This window comes from Homo sapiens, chromosome 5, assembly GCF_000001405.40.
Source record: "Homo sapiens chromosome 5, GRCh38.p14 Primary Assembly".
Taxonomy (NCBI): domain Eukaryota; kingdom Metazoa; phylum Chordata; class Mammalia; order Primates; family Hominidae; genus Homo; species Homo sapiens.
In genome coordinates, this window is record NC_000005.10 from 7582757 (window position 1) to 7599324 (window position 16568).

The 16568-nt window shown below is 37.9% G+C and overlaps 1 protein-coding gene across 5 annotated transcripts in view, besides 2 other annotated features; it reads left to right on the forward strand.

Annotated features, from left to right (window-relative positions):
- The window catches only part of ADCY2 (adenylate cyclase 2), a 433944-nt gene that overhangs the window by 186619 nt on the left and 230757 nt on the right, over window positions 1-16568 (forward strand). The gene's annotated exons all lie outside the window — the stretch shown is intronic.
- Window positions 14065-14579: an enhancer, noted in NCBI's record as "H3K27ac-H3K4me1 hESC enhancer chr5:7596934-7597448 (GRCh37/hg19 assembly coordinates)". NCBI's record gives its function as "activates a minimal SCP1, AML or CMV promoter by ChIP-STARR-seq in primed H9 embryonic stem cells {active_cell/tissue: H9 hESC(primed)}" and the evidence as "EXISTENCE:reporter gene assay evidence [ECO:0000049][PMID:30033119]".
- Window positions 14580-15094: an enhancer, noted in NCBI's record as "H3K27ac-H3K4me1 hESC enhancer chr5:7597449-7597963 (GRCh37/hg19 assembly coordinates)". NCBI's record gives its function as "activates a minimal SCP1, AML or CMV promoter by ChIP-STARR-seq in primed H9 embryonic stem cells {active_cell/tissue: H9 hESC(primed)}" and the evidence as "EXISTENCE:reporter gene assay evidence [ECO:0000049][PMID:30033119]".

Genomic DNA, 16568 nt, shown 5'->3' on the forward strand with positions numbered 1-16568 from the left:
AAATAAAACTAACATTTTACTCAATGGTCAAATATTAAACACTTTTCCTCTAAAGTCTGGAACAAGGAACTTCTATTTAATATTTACTGCAGGGCATGCAAATGAAGAGAGGCCAGAAAGAAAATGGCATAAAACATAGAAAGGAACAAGTAAAACTGTCTTTTTCATAGATCAGTTATATACATAGAAAATTCTAAGAATTTGATTAAGCAACTAGTAGAATTAATATGCAAGTGTAGCAAGGTTGAAGAATACAATGTCAATGTACAAAAATCAGTTGTGTTTTATATACTGGTAGGAAAAAATGTAAAATAAAAGTAAAAATCTAATTTCCTTTACAGTTTTTTTCAAAAATTATAATATCTAATAATGAATTTAAGAAAAGACAAATTAGATCTCTACATTTAAAATTACACATTTAAGATGTATTTAAAAAGACCAAAGTTGACAGAACAGTATACTTTACTCATGAATTGGAAACCTCAAACATATTAGGATGAAAATTTTCTCAAGATTATTGTACATAGTGAATCAATCTTAATGGTAAGCTCAACAGTCTATTTGTGGAAATTTATAAACTGATTATAATATTTATATTGAAATACAAAGGACTTAGGGTAATCACAGTGATCTTGTAAAAGTAGAACAAAGTTAAAGTATTTAACTTTGGTTAGCTTTGCTATTCAGGATACAGTGGTCCTAGCATAAGGATCCACCAATAGATCAATGTCCCATAAACCCATAAAAAGGGACTCAAATTCAGCACTCATCAGGGAAATGCAAATTGAAACCAGAATGAGATAACACTACCCATATATCAAAATGACTCAATTTAAAAGAATGACAACACCAGTTATTGTCAAAGTTATCGGATAACTGGACCTTTTGTACATTGATGGTAGATGTGCAAAATGGTATAGCCATTTGGGGAAAAGATCTGGCAATTTCTTTCAAAATGAATCACACCTGCTCTGTGACCTAGCAATTCAACTTCTAGGTATGTACCCAAGAGAAATAAAAATGTGACCACATATGCTTGATTTCAAATAGCAAAAACTGGGAACAGCTGAAGTGTCCAGGAACAGAATAATGGCTATACAAACTATGAAGTATTCATACACTGGAATACAGCTGAGAAGTAAAAAGGAACAAGCAACTGTTACATGCAACATAGATAAGTCACGAAAACATATGCTAAATGAAAGGAAGCCCAATGCAAAGTGTACTGAGTGATTTTTTTATATGAGGGTAAGACTGGATGAAAAATAGCAGAAAAGTGGTTGCCTCTAGGAAAGAAGGAAAGGGAATGACTGAGAATGGGGTGATTTCTTCCATAGTGGTAATGTTCCACATCTTTATAGGGTTTTTCTTTACTCTGATGGATGCATTTGTCAAAAATTATTAAATGGTACTAAAGACCTAATGTAAAGCATAATTAATAATATTGGATTGGGATAGTCCTAAAAGACACAATCCCAAAAACAATGATAGCGAATGTTGAAATCCTGAAGGATCAAAACTCCAAAAATATCATTTCGGAAAAAAATAAGTTTTAAAGATATTTCTTTATATTTCTAAAAGGGAATTTTCTTGAGAACATGTAAAAACATGACAGAACACTTCATAGGTCACTTTGCACAATAAAATAGGCAATAATAATGCATATTTTTGCATAAATACTCAGGTATAATAAGGACACTAGTATGGCTGTAATAGTTTTGAGCAGATGAACTGTGTTCATAAAGAAATAGATCAAAAAGAAGAAAGTATAGACACGTATCACTATGTTTGGAGATTGTGTGCACCCAGCTTTGTAACTGTGGTTATCTGAAATGCCATGACGAACAACCGAAGTCTTTATGTAAAAATGTCTTTTGCTGAAATTGATAAAAAAATTATGGTGGGTCACCACCACAGTTGCCCAAAGAGCTGAGATCTTGTAAAATTTTTATTTATCAGAAATGCAGGTGTACAAAAAGATCATATCTTCATTTATGGAGAAAGCTTCAACATTTTTACAAATATATACAATACTTACACAAAAAGTTAACTTTGTGATGATGCACTTTTGTGGACGCAAATTTGCCAAAATGCGTGAAATGAATTAGAACTCTCTAAAAGTCTCTACACAATTTATACCTTCACTATTGAAAGTGATGCAGAGATGAAATACACAGCATCACAAACTAAAAATAATGCTGACAATGTAAAATAGTGGAAAAAATGTTTTCTAAAAAGAAACAACTGAAAATCTAAAAATAATATTTGATTTATGAAAAAGTATATTACAGGGGGCTATGGGCACAGACATAGTATATAAGAGGTGGCCAGATTTCACCATCATTAACTATATTTAGAAGTCTTGCATCACAATGAATAGCTGCTTTTTTTCTTTTGGGACCTGGGTCTCCTCTGAGAATATGTTCACATTCATTTTCTACGTGGCAATTTCAATTTTTTTGAAATTCTTCTATGATTTGGTCAATATACATCAAGATGAGCATTCCCTGTCAAATTCTCCCATCTTCTGTGCCATGCCTCTATGTTGTTTTGTGTATGTGGAAATCCATTCCACACGTATTCATCCACAGACCACGAATTTAGTGGAAACAATAATGGTGATAGAATAGCAACATCTTGCGTGTCCCTTTATCCTAGCAGACACATACTATTTTCAATCCAGTCAGGAACTTCACTGGCTTCTTCAGGCAAATGTGGTTTTAATTTATTAAATGCTCCTGGAATATCATCAACTGGAATGAATGCTAATGCAGGCAAATGACACGTTTAAACTGAAGTTTTCCATAGTTACTGTGTTTCATAGCCAATTTACAATCTGAATTTTCTCTCAAATGCAAATAAAGACAATAAACAGTTAATAGTTCCACCTACCATGATGCAACTAACATCATTATCCTACCTACAACCCAAAACACACTAATCCCTTCCCCAGAATTCAGCTTTCAGGATTTCAGCATTTAGGATTATGGCATTCAAGTTTGTGTCTTTCGGGATTAGTATCCAAACCCATTGAATTGCACACCAGAACTGCTAAGAGTAGCATTTAGGTGTTCTTACCACCACCAAAAAGGTAACTATGTGAAGCAATGGCTATGTTAACTTACTCGACAGCAGTCATCATTTCGCGATTTGTATGTACATGGTGAAACACCATGCTGTACTCCTTAAATATATACAGTTTCTTGAAAAGAGGTAAAACATGTAATTATATGCATATTTTATGCTGACTATCACAATGTTTTAAAACTTGAGTTCTCATTTAGTGAAAATACATCATTCATTTCATTGTTTTCTTAACACACAACTTGTATTCTAGTAACTGGTAAAGTTAAATTCAGCCAACTTGGCTTATATTTTTCCCTGTATCATGACTGGTAGGTAAGATTATCACTATATTTAGAAAGGGAAAGTAATGTACTTGTTTTATTTATCTCGTTTTCCTTTTGTTCTGGCAAACCGATATGATAAATTTGGATTAATCCATGGCAAGCTGATCATTGCATTTAAAGTTTGAGAAAAAAATTATACTAAATTATTGATGTGCAAACTCAAGCCAGAATGGTAATTTTTTAAAACAGCCACTTTCAAGGTCCCAACCACATTAACAGGCCTGTCCTTTCTGTCAGCTTCTCCCACCCTCATCCATTCTCATCCTCCTGTCTTCCTTTCCAGATCTCAGTGCAGGCCTATGTCGACACCAAACTATTCTGTGTCAATTCCTGAGTTCTGACAAATGTGAGGGAAAGGAACTATGCAGTTAATTCAACCCGTAACATTTGCTGCAGGTCTTCATTTTCGAATAGGAGACAAGGTCATCTAATGAGCCGCTGACAGGAGCCCGCCGTGCATCTCGGGGGATGTCTTCAGGCAGCTCACCGGCTGTCTTTAGCTTGCCCAGACAGGCCCATGATAAACTCATCAAGAGTGGCTGAGAAAGGCCTGCAGCTGGGTGGCGGTGTAAGTGTGTGGACTGTGATAGGTGAGCGTTGGGGAGTCCTCTTTAATTTACGACAAAGGCAAGTGAAGTTCATTTGAATGGAGCTCCTACATGGATCCTATTCTATGTCTGTGTCCATGTTTACATCCATCGCCACATCTTCGTCTATCTATCCCTTCAGATCTCTATTTGTAGATGCAGTATCATCTAATTTATCTATCTGTAGAGATAGTATTTATGTCTGTACATTTTCACACAGGTATATAGATAGATAGATAGACAAAGACATAGATATAGGTGATATAGATCGTTTAATCCCCTAGTTTACAGGTGAACAGTTTGAGGCTCAGATTTGAAGAGAGTGTCTAGAGTTATAGACCCAGTGACAGGTGGAGTCAGGTCCAAACCCTTTCCTGCCCAGGCCCGAAGTGCTGACTTTCAGCTGCACCATACCATCACTCGCAGGACTAACTTCAACTCATCCCTTGGGACTTAACTCAGGGATCACCTGCTGCAGGGTGTCCCCACTCACCCTGCTTCCTTCCCGAGGTGGCGTCCCTCCTCCCAGGTGATCACTTGGGGATCCTTGTCTAATTGTTGTCCAGTGGCACTAAGCAGTGTCATGAGTTTGATCTATTTATGTGGCATCTTCCCTACTCTGTTGCGAGATGCTTGATGACGCATAGCGTTTTCTTTCATTTCAATTTTATTTTTACTTTAAGTCAAAGCATTGACATCTATTATAAATATCATACATGATGTAGTAAAAAAAAATTAAAACAGTCTTCGTTCTCAACGACCAGCCTCCCCCAGAGTTCCACAGTTGATGGGCTCCTGTACCTTCTAGGGAACAGGTGGGATTTATCTTTCCATTCCTTGAATCTTAGGTAGGGCCAGGTGCCTGAAATGTGGTAGCGGATTAAAACCTGCCTGGATTACTTCACGGATGAAGCCCTTCATCTTTAATTAAGAACAAAGTTATATTCAGAATGACAGCAATCAATTTAGAAAATGATTCCTATTTATATTATGGACAAGTAAGGGAAAGATTTGGAGAAGGAGCAAATAAAGGAGAACATAAACACAGGGTCGTAGAAGAGGATAGGGAAACGTTGAGAGAATCGGTTGATTAGGGGTTCAGCTGCCAGAAGTCTGGGACTGCTGATGTCTCTTCTTCTACTTTGCCATTAAAATGACCAGGACAGGCCAACAGTCTTATTAAAATTATTGTGTCAATACTAGCTAATACAATTAGTCAAGAGAAAGAAAAAAGCTGTAAGTATTAGAGAGACAGTATAAATTTATTATTACTACTATTACAATCCCTGTTATTGTTACTGCAAATAATATGTTGATACCAGAAAAACCCAAGAAAATTAAGAAAAGTAATTAGAAGCAATGTAAGAGGCTGATAAGCGTTCCTTATTTCAGTAATATGGTTATAAAAATATCATAAAAGAAAGGATTCTATCAGAAATATTTTTAAAATGGAATGTTTTGGAAAAAATTAATGAGAAAAATAGAAAACATGTACAAGGAAACTAAAATTCTTTCCTGAAACACATAAAAAAATCCACATAAATAGGAAATGTGGACATACCATGTTGGGTGGAAATATTACATATTACAACAAGGCCAATCTTTGCTAGATTTATTTATAATGGTAAAAATATGAATCAACAGCCCACTGGGCCTTTTTTGGTAACTGGATAAAATAATGCTGTATTTTATTTTTAAAAGTAAACCAGACATGGTATCTAAAAAATGCACCGTCAATTATGGGTTAAGAACCAGTGGATAGATCAATGGACTGTTGCCACCGATGGCAAGCTTTTTCTGTAAAGGCCGAGACAATACTTATATTTTCAGCTTCATGGGCCAAACTACTCATCTCTGTTGTTTTAGCACAAATGCAGCCATAGACAACATGTAAATGAGCATGGCTCTGTTCCAATGAAACTTTATTTATGTACACTGAAATTTGAAATTTATGTAATTTTCATGTGTCACGAAACATTATGTTGCTTGGGAATTTTATTTTAATCATTTAAAAATGTAAAAATCATTCTTAGCTCTTGGGCTGTACAAAAACAAGCTGCAGGACTGATTTGGCCTGCAGTTTGTAGTTTGCCAATCCCTGGAATAGATCAAAGAGCAAAGAAACAAATAATACGACACGTAAGTAAGGAAAATATTGTAAAGGAGGAAAATAAAAGTTATCTGATAAACAGGTATTAGGAGTTGGCTCCTTCACTGAGGGAAAAAATTATGTTAAACCTTCACTATCCAACAGCTAAAATAAATTCCAAATGAAGAGTTAAGAGTAAAAAACTAAAGTGATTAAATTTAAGAGTGAAATGCAGCAGGTAAAACTAACTGATTTGCAAGGCACTGTAATGGTCCTTAATAGCCACTTGATAATTGCACAATAACCTTGACCATTACAAAAATTAATAGCATTAAATTGCCTTATTCACCCTAATTTATTTTCTAAAGGGTTTGCTACTGTCTGATTTTTTAAAGACTTTAGTAAAAGGCTAGGGAAAACAGATGAAAAACATACACTGTAACCAACAACAACAAAAAATGATTCCAATTTTGTTTTTACAAAATATGCATAGACAAAGTAAAAAAGACTGGAAAGAAATAAACAATGTCCACTGGCAAAAAAAAAGAAAGAAAGAAGAGAGAAAGAGGAAGGAAGGGAGGGAGGGAGGGATAGAAAGAAAGAAAGAAGGAAAGAAAAAGAAAGAAAGAAAGAAAGAAAGAAAGAAAGAAAGAAAGAAAGAAAGAAAGAAAAGAAAAGAAAGAGAAAGAAAGAAAGGAGGGAGGGAAGGAGGAAGGAAGGAAGGAGAGAAAAGAAAGAAAATACATATTGGTGAATATCTAATTTTGTAGTAAGGAAGACATTTCTAAGTCTAAAAGGGACTCTCTCTGGGCCCTAAATTCTGCTCCTGTTTTCCTGAGTGTTCCTCCTGTTTGTCCACCAAATTTCAAGCATCTGTGAAGGGTTTCCCTCTTGCTCCTCCAGGGCACAGAGATGGGCTGTTGGGGGTAACCAATGATACAGCACTCGGGAGCTCACAGCACTTTTCATTATTTGTGCATCCAGAGGAAACACTACTAAATCCCCTTTTTCCTCTCCCAGATATATTAAAGCCATCCAATGAAGTAAAGCCTGGGTTATGCAATGTTAAATGGGTCCTTTCACAGCTGATTCCAAAAGGCCTCTTGGTCATGAACTGCTTCATCCTTACCTGTCTATTTAGGTGTTAGCCACAGGTGGCTCACAACCGTGTGGCCAACACTGGTACGTCTGGCTGCTGGAGAAACCCAAATCCCATGGCCAAGCAAGGATTTAGGCTCCGTCTGCTAAAACCAAAATCAAAGCCGACAGGAGCTATTGGAAATGAGATAAAATGAAATGAGTCACTTGGGGAGTCACCGCACTTCAACTAAGTGCAAAGGATGAAAAGGAGTAATAAGGTAAAGAGAGGTATAAGAAAGCTAAATTTGGGACTCTTGCAAAAAAGCATAGAATATGGGGATTATTAATTGATATTGTAAATCTTTTAGTTTTGCCATCTAATTTCATTTACTCAGATAATGATAGAAGCTTTTCTTGACAGATGTAACAGAGAACAGAATAAATTGGAGACATACTGCTGCGAAATTAGATTACATTTAAATGTTGGCTATTCTTTTTAAAATTCTGTTTTTAAAAATAGTTTTATAATCATGTAAGTCATTCTAGGATCCTTATGTTCTCTTTATCCAAAACCATATTTAAATATCAAGACTTTTGTGCTTGTTTGGATTTAGGGGAAAAAATAAGTGGTTCACTTGTGACCATGTTAAAAAAAAAAAAGCAAGACTTTTCTCTCTGTAGATACCTTAATAGTTTAAGTGTGTTGCCTGGTTTTCTGTCATCAGAAAAGGTGAAATATTACACAAAATTATTTGACAAGACCATACCATAGTTTCATAATAATACCAAAAGTAATGAACATTATGGTGTGGACAAAGTCAGCCCACAGGAATCCATAATGTAAATGTGGTTATGTGTAATATATAGAGAAAAGGGTCCAGTATGTTTTTGCTTCTAGGCATTTAAAAAGTTTGGTATTAATTTATCTTAACCATTAATATAGTCAAGACTCTTATTATTTATTTCTGTAATTGGTTTTTGAAATATTTTAACATTAGAAAAATAAATAATATTCAAATGGAAAAAGTGGTTGCTTTTCAAATCCATGGATTCTTATATTTTAAAGGTAATTCAGTTTTATCATGATTTCATACACATCTTCAAAATTATAGTAGGCAAATTTTGGAATGATTTTGTTTTTAGCTTTTGAAATTGCTCACGTGATTACTGGTGACGTTATTTAATTAGAATAGTTTATGGAATTATACATAATTCAGTTGATCACTATCTAAAGCGTGCAGTTTACATTTTTTAAGGGGAAGTAAAATATTTGTGAGTTGGTATACCTATGTCAGAAAACTCAGAGACAGAACTTTGTTTTTTTGGCTTTTTATGCAATGAAACTTGTTTGTAACTTACTACTCCTAAGATGATACTCTTGCAATTTTTGTATAACACCACCCTTTCAGCATAGGTTCTATCAGAAAGTTTAAGAAAGTAATGATCACATTTATGATTCTGCACATGAACAGGACAGGTGATGTGAACATACAGTCGGGAAACTTAAGTTGGCACCTCCCATCCATGGGCTACTTACCATGAATGAGTCTTCTGAGGCCTTTTATTTTAATTTGATCATTTTCAAACTAGGTCTAATATTTAATGTCTCTTATCTGTCTACCTCAAAGTACTAAAAATACTCATTTTGATCATGTCGATGGTTATACAGCAACTGTATAAGTCTCCATCCTTCCTATAATACTCTCTCTAGGGCTAGAGAGTTAGAGGGAAGAAGTGGGGCACCACATCTCAGCCATGAGCCCTCAAACCAGGAGAGCCAGATGTTCCAGCTCTGGGCAAAAACCCAGGAAGGCAATCCACGCATAGAATCAAACACACCTAGGTTAGAAGTCATTGGATATTATGCCTCTGAGTTTTTGCCAAGGACTAGTAAAAATGGTGTTTCATTTTAATTTATTTGCATTTTCCTGGCTGCTGGTGAGACTGGGTTTCTGTTTACACATTTACTGGCCATTTGGATTTCCTTGTCTTTGAAGTAAATTTTTCAATCTTCTTATCCATAGCATTGTTTTCCTTTTCAATTTGTAGAAGTTACATATTTAATAGGAATGTTTAACTTTTACTTTTAATATGTGTCACAAGTATATTTATCCAAGCTTGCCATTTTTCTTTTGCCTTTGTTTACAGTGGCATTCACTACTCAATTTAAACATGCGGTATGCACATATGGCTCTTTCTTCTTATTGCCTTTAGGTTTCAGTCTTGTTTAGAAAAGTATCTCCCATTGCCAATATTACAAAGAGGGTCGCCTAAATAGTTATTAGTGTATTTTTGCTTTTTAATTCAAATATAATTCATCTGGAATTCATTTTTAAATATTATGAAAACAGACTCTAGAAATGTTTTCTTTCAGATGGAAGCTGATATCGTTGGATGAATAAAAAAAGATTCTATAGTAAAAAAACTTTGTTATTAATAATGATGGGTGAACTAAATGAGGAATAGATTAAAATAGAATGTTTCAGCACCTATAGGCAAATAAAATATAATTCGATTGAAAGAAAATAAAATCTGGAGACATGGCAATGGAGACTCCCAGTGGGAAGACGTAATGCCCAGCAGTGCCCATTCTTTCCTACCTATTGTACTAGGGGAACTGGAAAAAAAAATGGTAAAATTTACAAAAAATAAAAAGTCTTGAGAATATATAAGAAAACTATAAGATAAGTAAAATAGTAAGGAAGACCTTCCTTCCGTGTAATGATAACATACTGTGAAATCAAGGTTGGTATTGATGCCAAAACAATCATCAGTTAACTGTTACCCTGTCAATAAACATAAACAGAGGAAAATTCTGAAGGAGAGAAGTTTTGGAATAAATTAAATTTGAACAAAAACTGGGCTTCATCTTGTACCAGGCAATGAAGAAAACCCTCCTTTAACTGTGTAGAACATGAAGCACCCCCCAGCCCACTACAGCACCTCTATTAAATAGTAATGAAGGATGACTTATTTCCTTCAGAAGACAAAACTTAAGGAAAAAGAGAATTCCTCCTGGGATTGTGCGATTTACCATGTTGTATGTGATAGAATGCATAGCTTGAGGTTTTATGTTACTCACGTTTTATAGGTAGATATTTTTGGCACCAAACCTTGTATATCTGAGAGATAAAATGCACATAGGTTTGGGGACCAATAGCAGGAGGGAGAGCTGTGGAAGCAGCTGCCCAGCGCCCTCTGGGGGATGAGCGCAAATCGAGGAAAACCTTGAAGGAGTGAAGTTTTAGAATGAAGTAAATTTGAACAAAAATTCTGGGCTTCATCTGGGACTAGGCAATGGAGAAAATCCTACTTTAATTATATAGAGCACCAAAGACACCCACACACAACCCACGCACAAAAGTACCTCTATATTATTTCAGTGTAAAGTGTGAAACTAGCTCATGAACAGGACATGTGACAAGAAAGTGAACTTGTCTTGCAGGAGTTTTAATTAAAGAGGTTGTTGGCTTGATCCTGGCCAAGGCCGTTCGCATGCAAACAGAAAAGGCGTGGAGTCTGGGATCTTCCTCTGCCAACCCCATGAGCGTATTCATTTCTCTCCTCCTGTAATGTCACACAGGACTTTGTTACCAACAGGGATGGAGCGTAGGAGAAAGAAGGAAAGGATAGGATGAGAAAAAAAAAATAGCCAAAATCTGCTAAAACTCACTCAAAAAGAAGAGACTGGGACTGTCCTTGTTATGGAATACTGACCCAAACAGATACATATCCATTCAAAAATATCCATTCAACATAGATTAGCTAAATGCCCCCAGGTCCTTTTTCAAGATGTTGGGGAAAGCTATACATACAAATGATAAAAACTCTGTTCTCATGACACATTCTAATTGGGGGAAGATGAGACAATAGACAAACGTGAAAAAAAAAATAACATGACAGAGTGTCACACTTCTGTAAGAAGAAAAGTAAAGCAGGAAACGCTATACAGAGCTGGAGAGAGGAGATGTAAAAGTGTCATTTGAGCTGAGAACTGAAGGATGCAGATACTTGGGTTAAGAGAACTCTAGGTACAAAGTGCAAGAAAACCAGTGTACAGTACAAGAAAAAGCAAGCCAGCCCTGAGATTGGAGAGGTGGACGTGGGTGGACCACAAATAGCTTGGGAAGTGTGTTAAAGGCGCTGACTTTTGCTCTGGGTTGATTTGAGAAGAATTATGAGTAAAAGAATGACATGGTCTGACTTTCATCCAATCTGGCACTGGTTACAGTGCCGAGATGAGACAGGTGGAGACAAGGACAGGGCCTCAAGGGCAGTTTAGAGGCCACTGCAAATCCAGACGAGAGGTGATGGTGGCTTGGACCTGGGCATTAGTGATGGAAGTGGTAGGAGGTATTCAGTATGTGAGCCACACACATTGAAATATCTAAATACACCAACTAATCTGATGTGGAGAATGAGAGAGAGCCAGAGGCAGCTCATAGGACCCCAAGGTTTGGGGGATGTTGGGCAGATGTGTACCAGGTCAACCTTTGAAAGTAAAGGAAGTTGAGAAGCTCAAATACCATTCGAGAGAAAGCTCCAGATGTTTTCTAGCTTTTGAAACAATAAACAGTATTTTGCTGAAATGTCCCAGTTTGTAAGTAGCCAGGAACTCTTGTGTGACCCTCTCCACAGCACCTTCCTTGCACATTGCAGTCTTTAATTAGTTATTGACTTAATTAATGAGTTTATGCATTTGTTGTTATTGTCCCCAACCAAAACATAAATCTTGATGAGAGCAGGGGACTTGTCTGTCTTGTCCTCAATAAAATGTTTGATGAACAAATGACCAAATAAATAAAACGTCACCAGGTGGGTAGGATTTTCTATATTTGGGAAACATTCATCCAAAAGAAAGGATATAAAATTATGGAAGAAAAATATCCAAAGCTCTTATGTAAAGAGCTGGCCCCGTTAGCCTCTTAGACTAACATCATGAACCTTATTTCATAGCAGGAAGAAAGATTATGTCTAAGGAAGAACGGAGCCTCAAGGGCAGCTTCAAAGGACAGAGTCCAGAGCCTGCTTTTAAATGCTATCTGTTCATGCTTCTCTAAGCCAATTATTTGACATATTGGTATATCATTCTAAATTGGTTTGCCTTCCCTTCCCCTTTTAATCTGTTTTCTTTGTCCTTCAAGGCAAAGTGGTTTACAAAGGGATAGTGGTTTTGTTCATTAGCTAATTATAATTATTCCCTTATAATGACCACGTTGCAACAGGTACCCAAACACCTGATCACACCCCAGTGCAAGTTCTTTGAAATAAAGTAGGAATAAATTTAAAAACAATAGAGTTACTATTAAAGAATGAGTCAATACTAGCTTCGCTTTTCTTAAAATTAAATAGCACATTCCTTATTGGCCATTGCTAATTTTGGAGCATTTATTTTAATACTTATATACTGTATTAATATTTTAATGAGTCATTACCTGTAAACCTTTGTTGTGTTAATGTTTAAGCCTTCAAACTATTTTGGAGCATTTAAATCTATTTTTTCCAAATATACATGAAATGATATTAGTTCCTGGCTTTATTTTTAAAAACATAGCATGAACCTTCAAGGAACAACCATCCTGTTATTTTCTTTTATCTCACATATCTTCTTGTCGGAGAGAGAAATTCCCCTCTAATGTTCAAAACTTAGGAGTGTTTGACATCTCCTAAGCTCTGATGTCTCTACATTACAAGTGACTTAATTTGTAAATATAATCATCTCTTAGTAGCCAAAGGAGATTTGTTACCAGACCCCCCACCTCACAGATACCCAAATCTGTGTTGCTGAAGTCTCTGATATAAAATGGTGTAATTTTTGCATACAGCCTGTGCACATCCTCTTGGATACATTAAATCACCTCTAGGCTGCTTATAATATCGAATACAATGTAAATGCCATGTAAATAGTTGGCATACTCTATTGTTTAGGGAATTATGACAAGAAAAAGTCTGTACATATTAAGTACACACTCAACATACATCTTTTAAGAAATATTTTTGATCTGCAGTTGGTTGAATCCACAGATGTGGAACCCATGGATATGGAGGGCTGACTATAGTAGCAAATTATATAGACATATGAGAAATTTTATATGGTGATGCTAGTTTAATATAATCCTTTCTTAGGATTATATTAAATTATAGGATTATATTAAATATATACTGAGGAATTTATTTATTTTCTGTCTCTTCCAGTCTTCCATAGTGGGTAAGCTGTCTATCATAGTTCCTCTTGCAGGTACAAAATAATTTTTTAATGTTCATTTCTCAAATGGATAACTAGACACACAAAATGATAACAGCCTTGCCAATGGATACTTTTTGATGATACCCAAATGCCCGATCCAAAAACTCCCCCCCCCCACCAGTTAGCTCTGGGGTATCAGAACCCAAGGCAATACGAAACTCCAGGTCCACACGAATAAGTATCTCCACCGTTTCCTCACTAACAATACAGTTGTTATTTACAATGGAGTGATCCAATTACTTGAGTGATTAGTTTGTCAAAGGAGTTGTCTTCTAGTGAGTTGAGAAAATGTGAACAATAACGAAATACCTAAAATGACAACAAAATTTCTAAAAATTAAGAGTGTAATTCCCTCATCTGAGGCAAGTGAGTGGGTGGCTGAGCTGGGAGCTCTGGAGTCAGGCTGTGCAGTTCCCTGGAGATCCCCGGGGAGGTCACCTCACACCTTTTTCCTCACATCTTCATCTTTAAGGTGGGAGTTAAACCCGTTAAGTGAATGAATAAATATACAGCGCTGGAAACAGTGCCTGGCACTCAGTAAAAGCTGCATCTACCCCACCTGTGTTGTTGCTGTTGCTACTATTGTTATTGTAATTATTTTAGTATTGTTATTAACTAGTACTCATGGAATTAGATGCCACAGACAATGTAATCTCAAGGTTGGGGCCTATACTGAATCAGTAAATTAGAGTAGTCGTTGTTTTAAAAAATTTAGTCCTCATTTCACTTCAAACAGGAATTAAGAAGGGCTACATATAAATGATACAGCCAAGTTAAACATATTTCTACAAGTAAGAAAGGGAGTCCAGGAAAACTAGTGAATGAGGAAGTACAGCTCCATGAGCCACTTTTTGAGCTCCTGTAAGAACCCAAAAGATTTGTCTCAGGTTGCAGGTATCCAGGGAGCAAAATCCAGAAATTTCTATTTATCTTGGTCTTTTTTTTAGCTGTCTGAAGGGCAAGGAAACAATATTAGGCTTTTACTTGCTCCTTCTTTGCTCTGCCAGCTGCTATTTCTGGCTTATGCCTGAAGGCAGGAGAAGGAATGGCAGCAGGGCCAGGGTGAGGCCAGGGCTGCGGTTTGGGCTGGATTCAAAGCAAACGTTCTAGCCAGTGCAGGCAGAAGCTGCACAGAGACCTCTTTGAGAAGTTGGGCACCTCAGGCTGCGCCCAGCTGGGTCCAGAGGCCCCCTCTCCAGGGAGCAGAAGGTTGAGCTGCAGTGAGATGCTTCTAGGCTCCTGCTGCTTACAGGGTTTAACCCTGCCATCCACGATGCTTCCCTTCAGGAGCAGTAGAATAGGCAGGGTAAAGAATGCAGTAGTGGCCAGGCGCAGTGGCTCACGCCTGTAATCCCAGAACTTTGGGAGGCCAAGGTGGGTGGATCACTTAAGCCCAGGAGTGCAAGATGAGCCTGAGCAACATGACAAAAACCCATCTGTATAAAAAAACTTTAAAATTTAGCAGGGCATGGTAGCCTGTACCTATAGTCCCAGCTACTCGGGAGGCTGAGGTGGGAGGATTACTTGAGCCTGGGATGTTGAGGCTGCAGTGAGCCATGATTGCATGATTGCACCACTGTACTCCAGCCTGGGTGACAGACTGAGACCCTGCCTCAAAAACAAACAAAAAGCAGTAGTAGCGTAGAGCTGGAATAGACATTCATTCATTCGTTCTCACCCACTCACCCCTTGATAATTCATAGAACACCTGTGTACCTTGCCCTGTGCTTGGGGGTGGAAAAATCCTTGCAATGTCTTACTGGCAAATTCTACTGAAGGAGCTTTCCTCTCCAGTGGGCAATCCAGCCCCCAGCCAGGCCCTGGAACATGCCCAGCACAACGTATACATAGATCAAACACTACATAGAACACATAAATGTACATAATTATTAGTGGTCAACTGAAATACAAGATACGCATGGTGTGGTGGAGTGCATGAGAGAGGCCACCTTTTGCAGCTTGGGCTGGACTGGGAGCTAAAAAGCTTTCGTCTTTTAGTGCCTCCTGTGCTGAGTCCTACAGTCACTTCCGTAGTGGCCAAACGTTAGAGAAAGGGAAAGGTGGGAGTGGGAGCAAGGAGGAGGGCAAAGCCTCGAGGCCAGACTCGTGGGTAACCTCACCTCAGAAGCAAGGTGGCTGCAGGGTAGGGGTGAGCCTAAATATGGACTTCTAGAGAAAGCCTGAGTCCCACCATCAAGGACATCCTATACTATTTTAAGAAGTTCACTACTGTACTTGACCTTGTAGTTCTTAAAGTATGGCTCATGGGCTACCAGTAACATAATCCCCTTGGAGGTTAATTGCAATGCACATTTTTGTACTATATCTCAAACAGATCAGAATTTTCTGTGGGGGGTTCTGGAATTTTGTATTCTAAACACACATCCTTGGTCTTCATTATACATAGGGTAGTTGGAGGCCCTGACCTGAAGGCAGTGGAGAATTGCTGGAGAATTCGAGGCAGAGGGCTGCTAGGTGTGGGTGCTGGGGGTGTGAGTTGTTTCCAGTGGACACACGATAGGATTGTGCTTCCCAGCCCCGTTGCGCTCAGGTGACTTGATTTCCAGTGAAACGTGAGCAGCAGTGATGTGTGACACCTCCCGAAAGAGCCACTGCATCGTCTCCCCTCTGACAGTGATTGTGGACACCTGCATTGAGATGAAGCCCATGTCAGCCTGGGTCTCCCAGGTGCCTTCATTAAGCAGAGCTCTCCCCACCCTCTGTTGGAATCCATGGTGGACTTCAGAGTTGAAGGAGACGTGGACATTTTTTGTGTGAAGATGCTGAGATCTGGGAGCTGCTCATTGCCACAGCATTGCCCCACATGTCCTGACTGAGGCAGGTGGTCTTGCGCTCATTTGCTGCATTTTGGTGACTTCTGACAGATGGATTTGTGTAGGGACAGCCAAGGGGCAGGTAGATTTGTGCAGGGACAGCCCCCGGGGACAGATGGATTTGTACAGGGACAGCCCAGGAGCAGCTGGATTTGTGCAGGGATAGCCCGGGGCAGATGGATTTGTACAGGGACAGCCCAAGGACAGATAGATTTGAGTAGGGACAGCCCAGGGGCAGTACGAGTTTTTTTGTGAGAATCCAGAGTTGATTGAGAAATAGAGTAGGAGAAGCAGGAATGAAAAGGGGAGGACACAGATTTA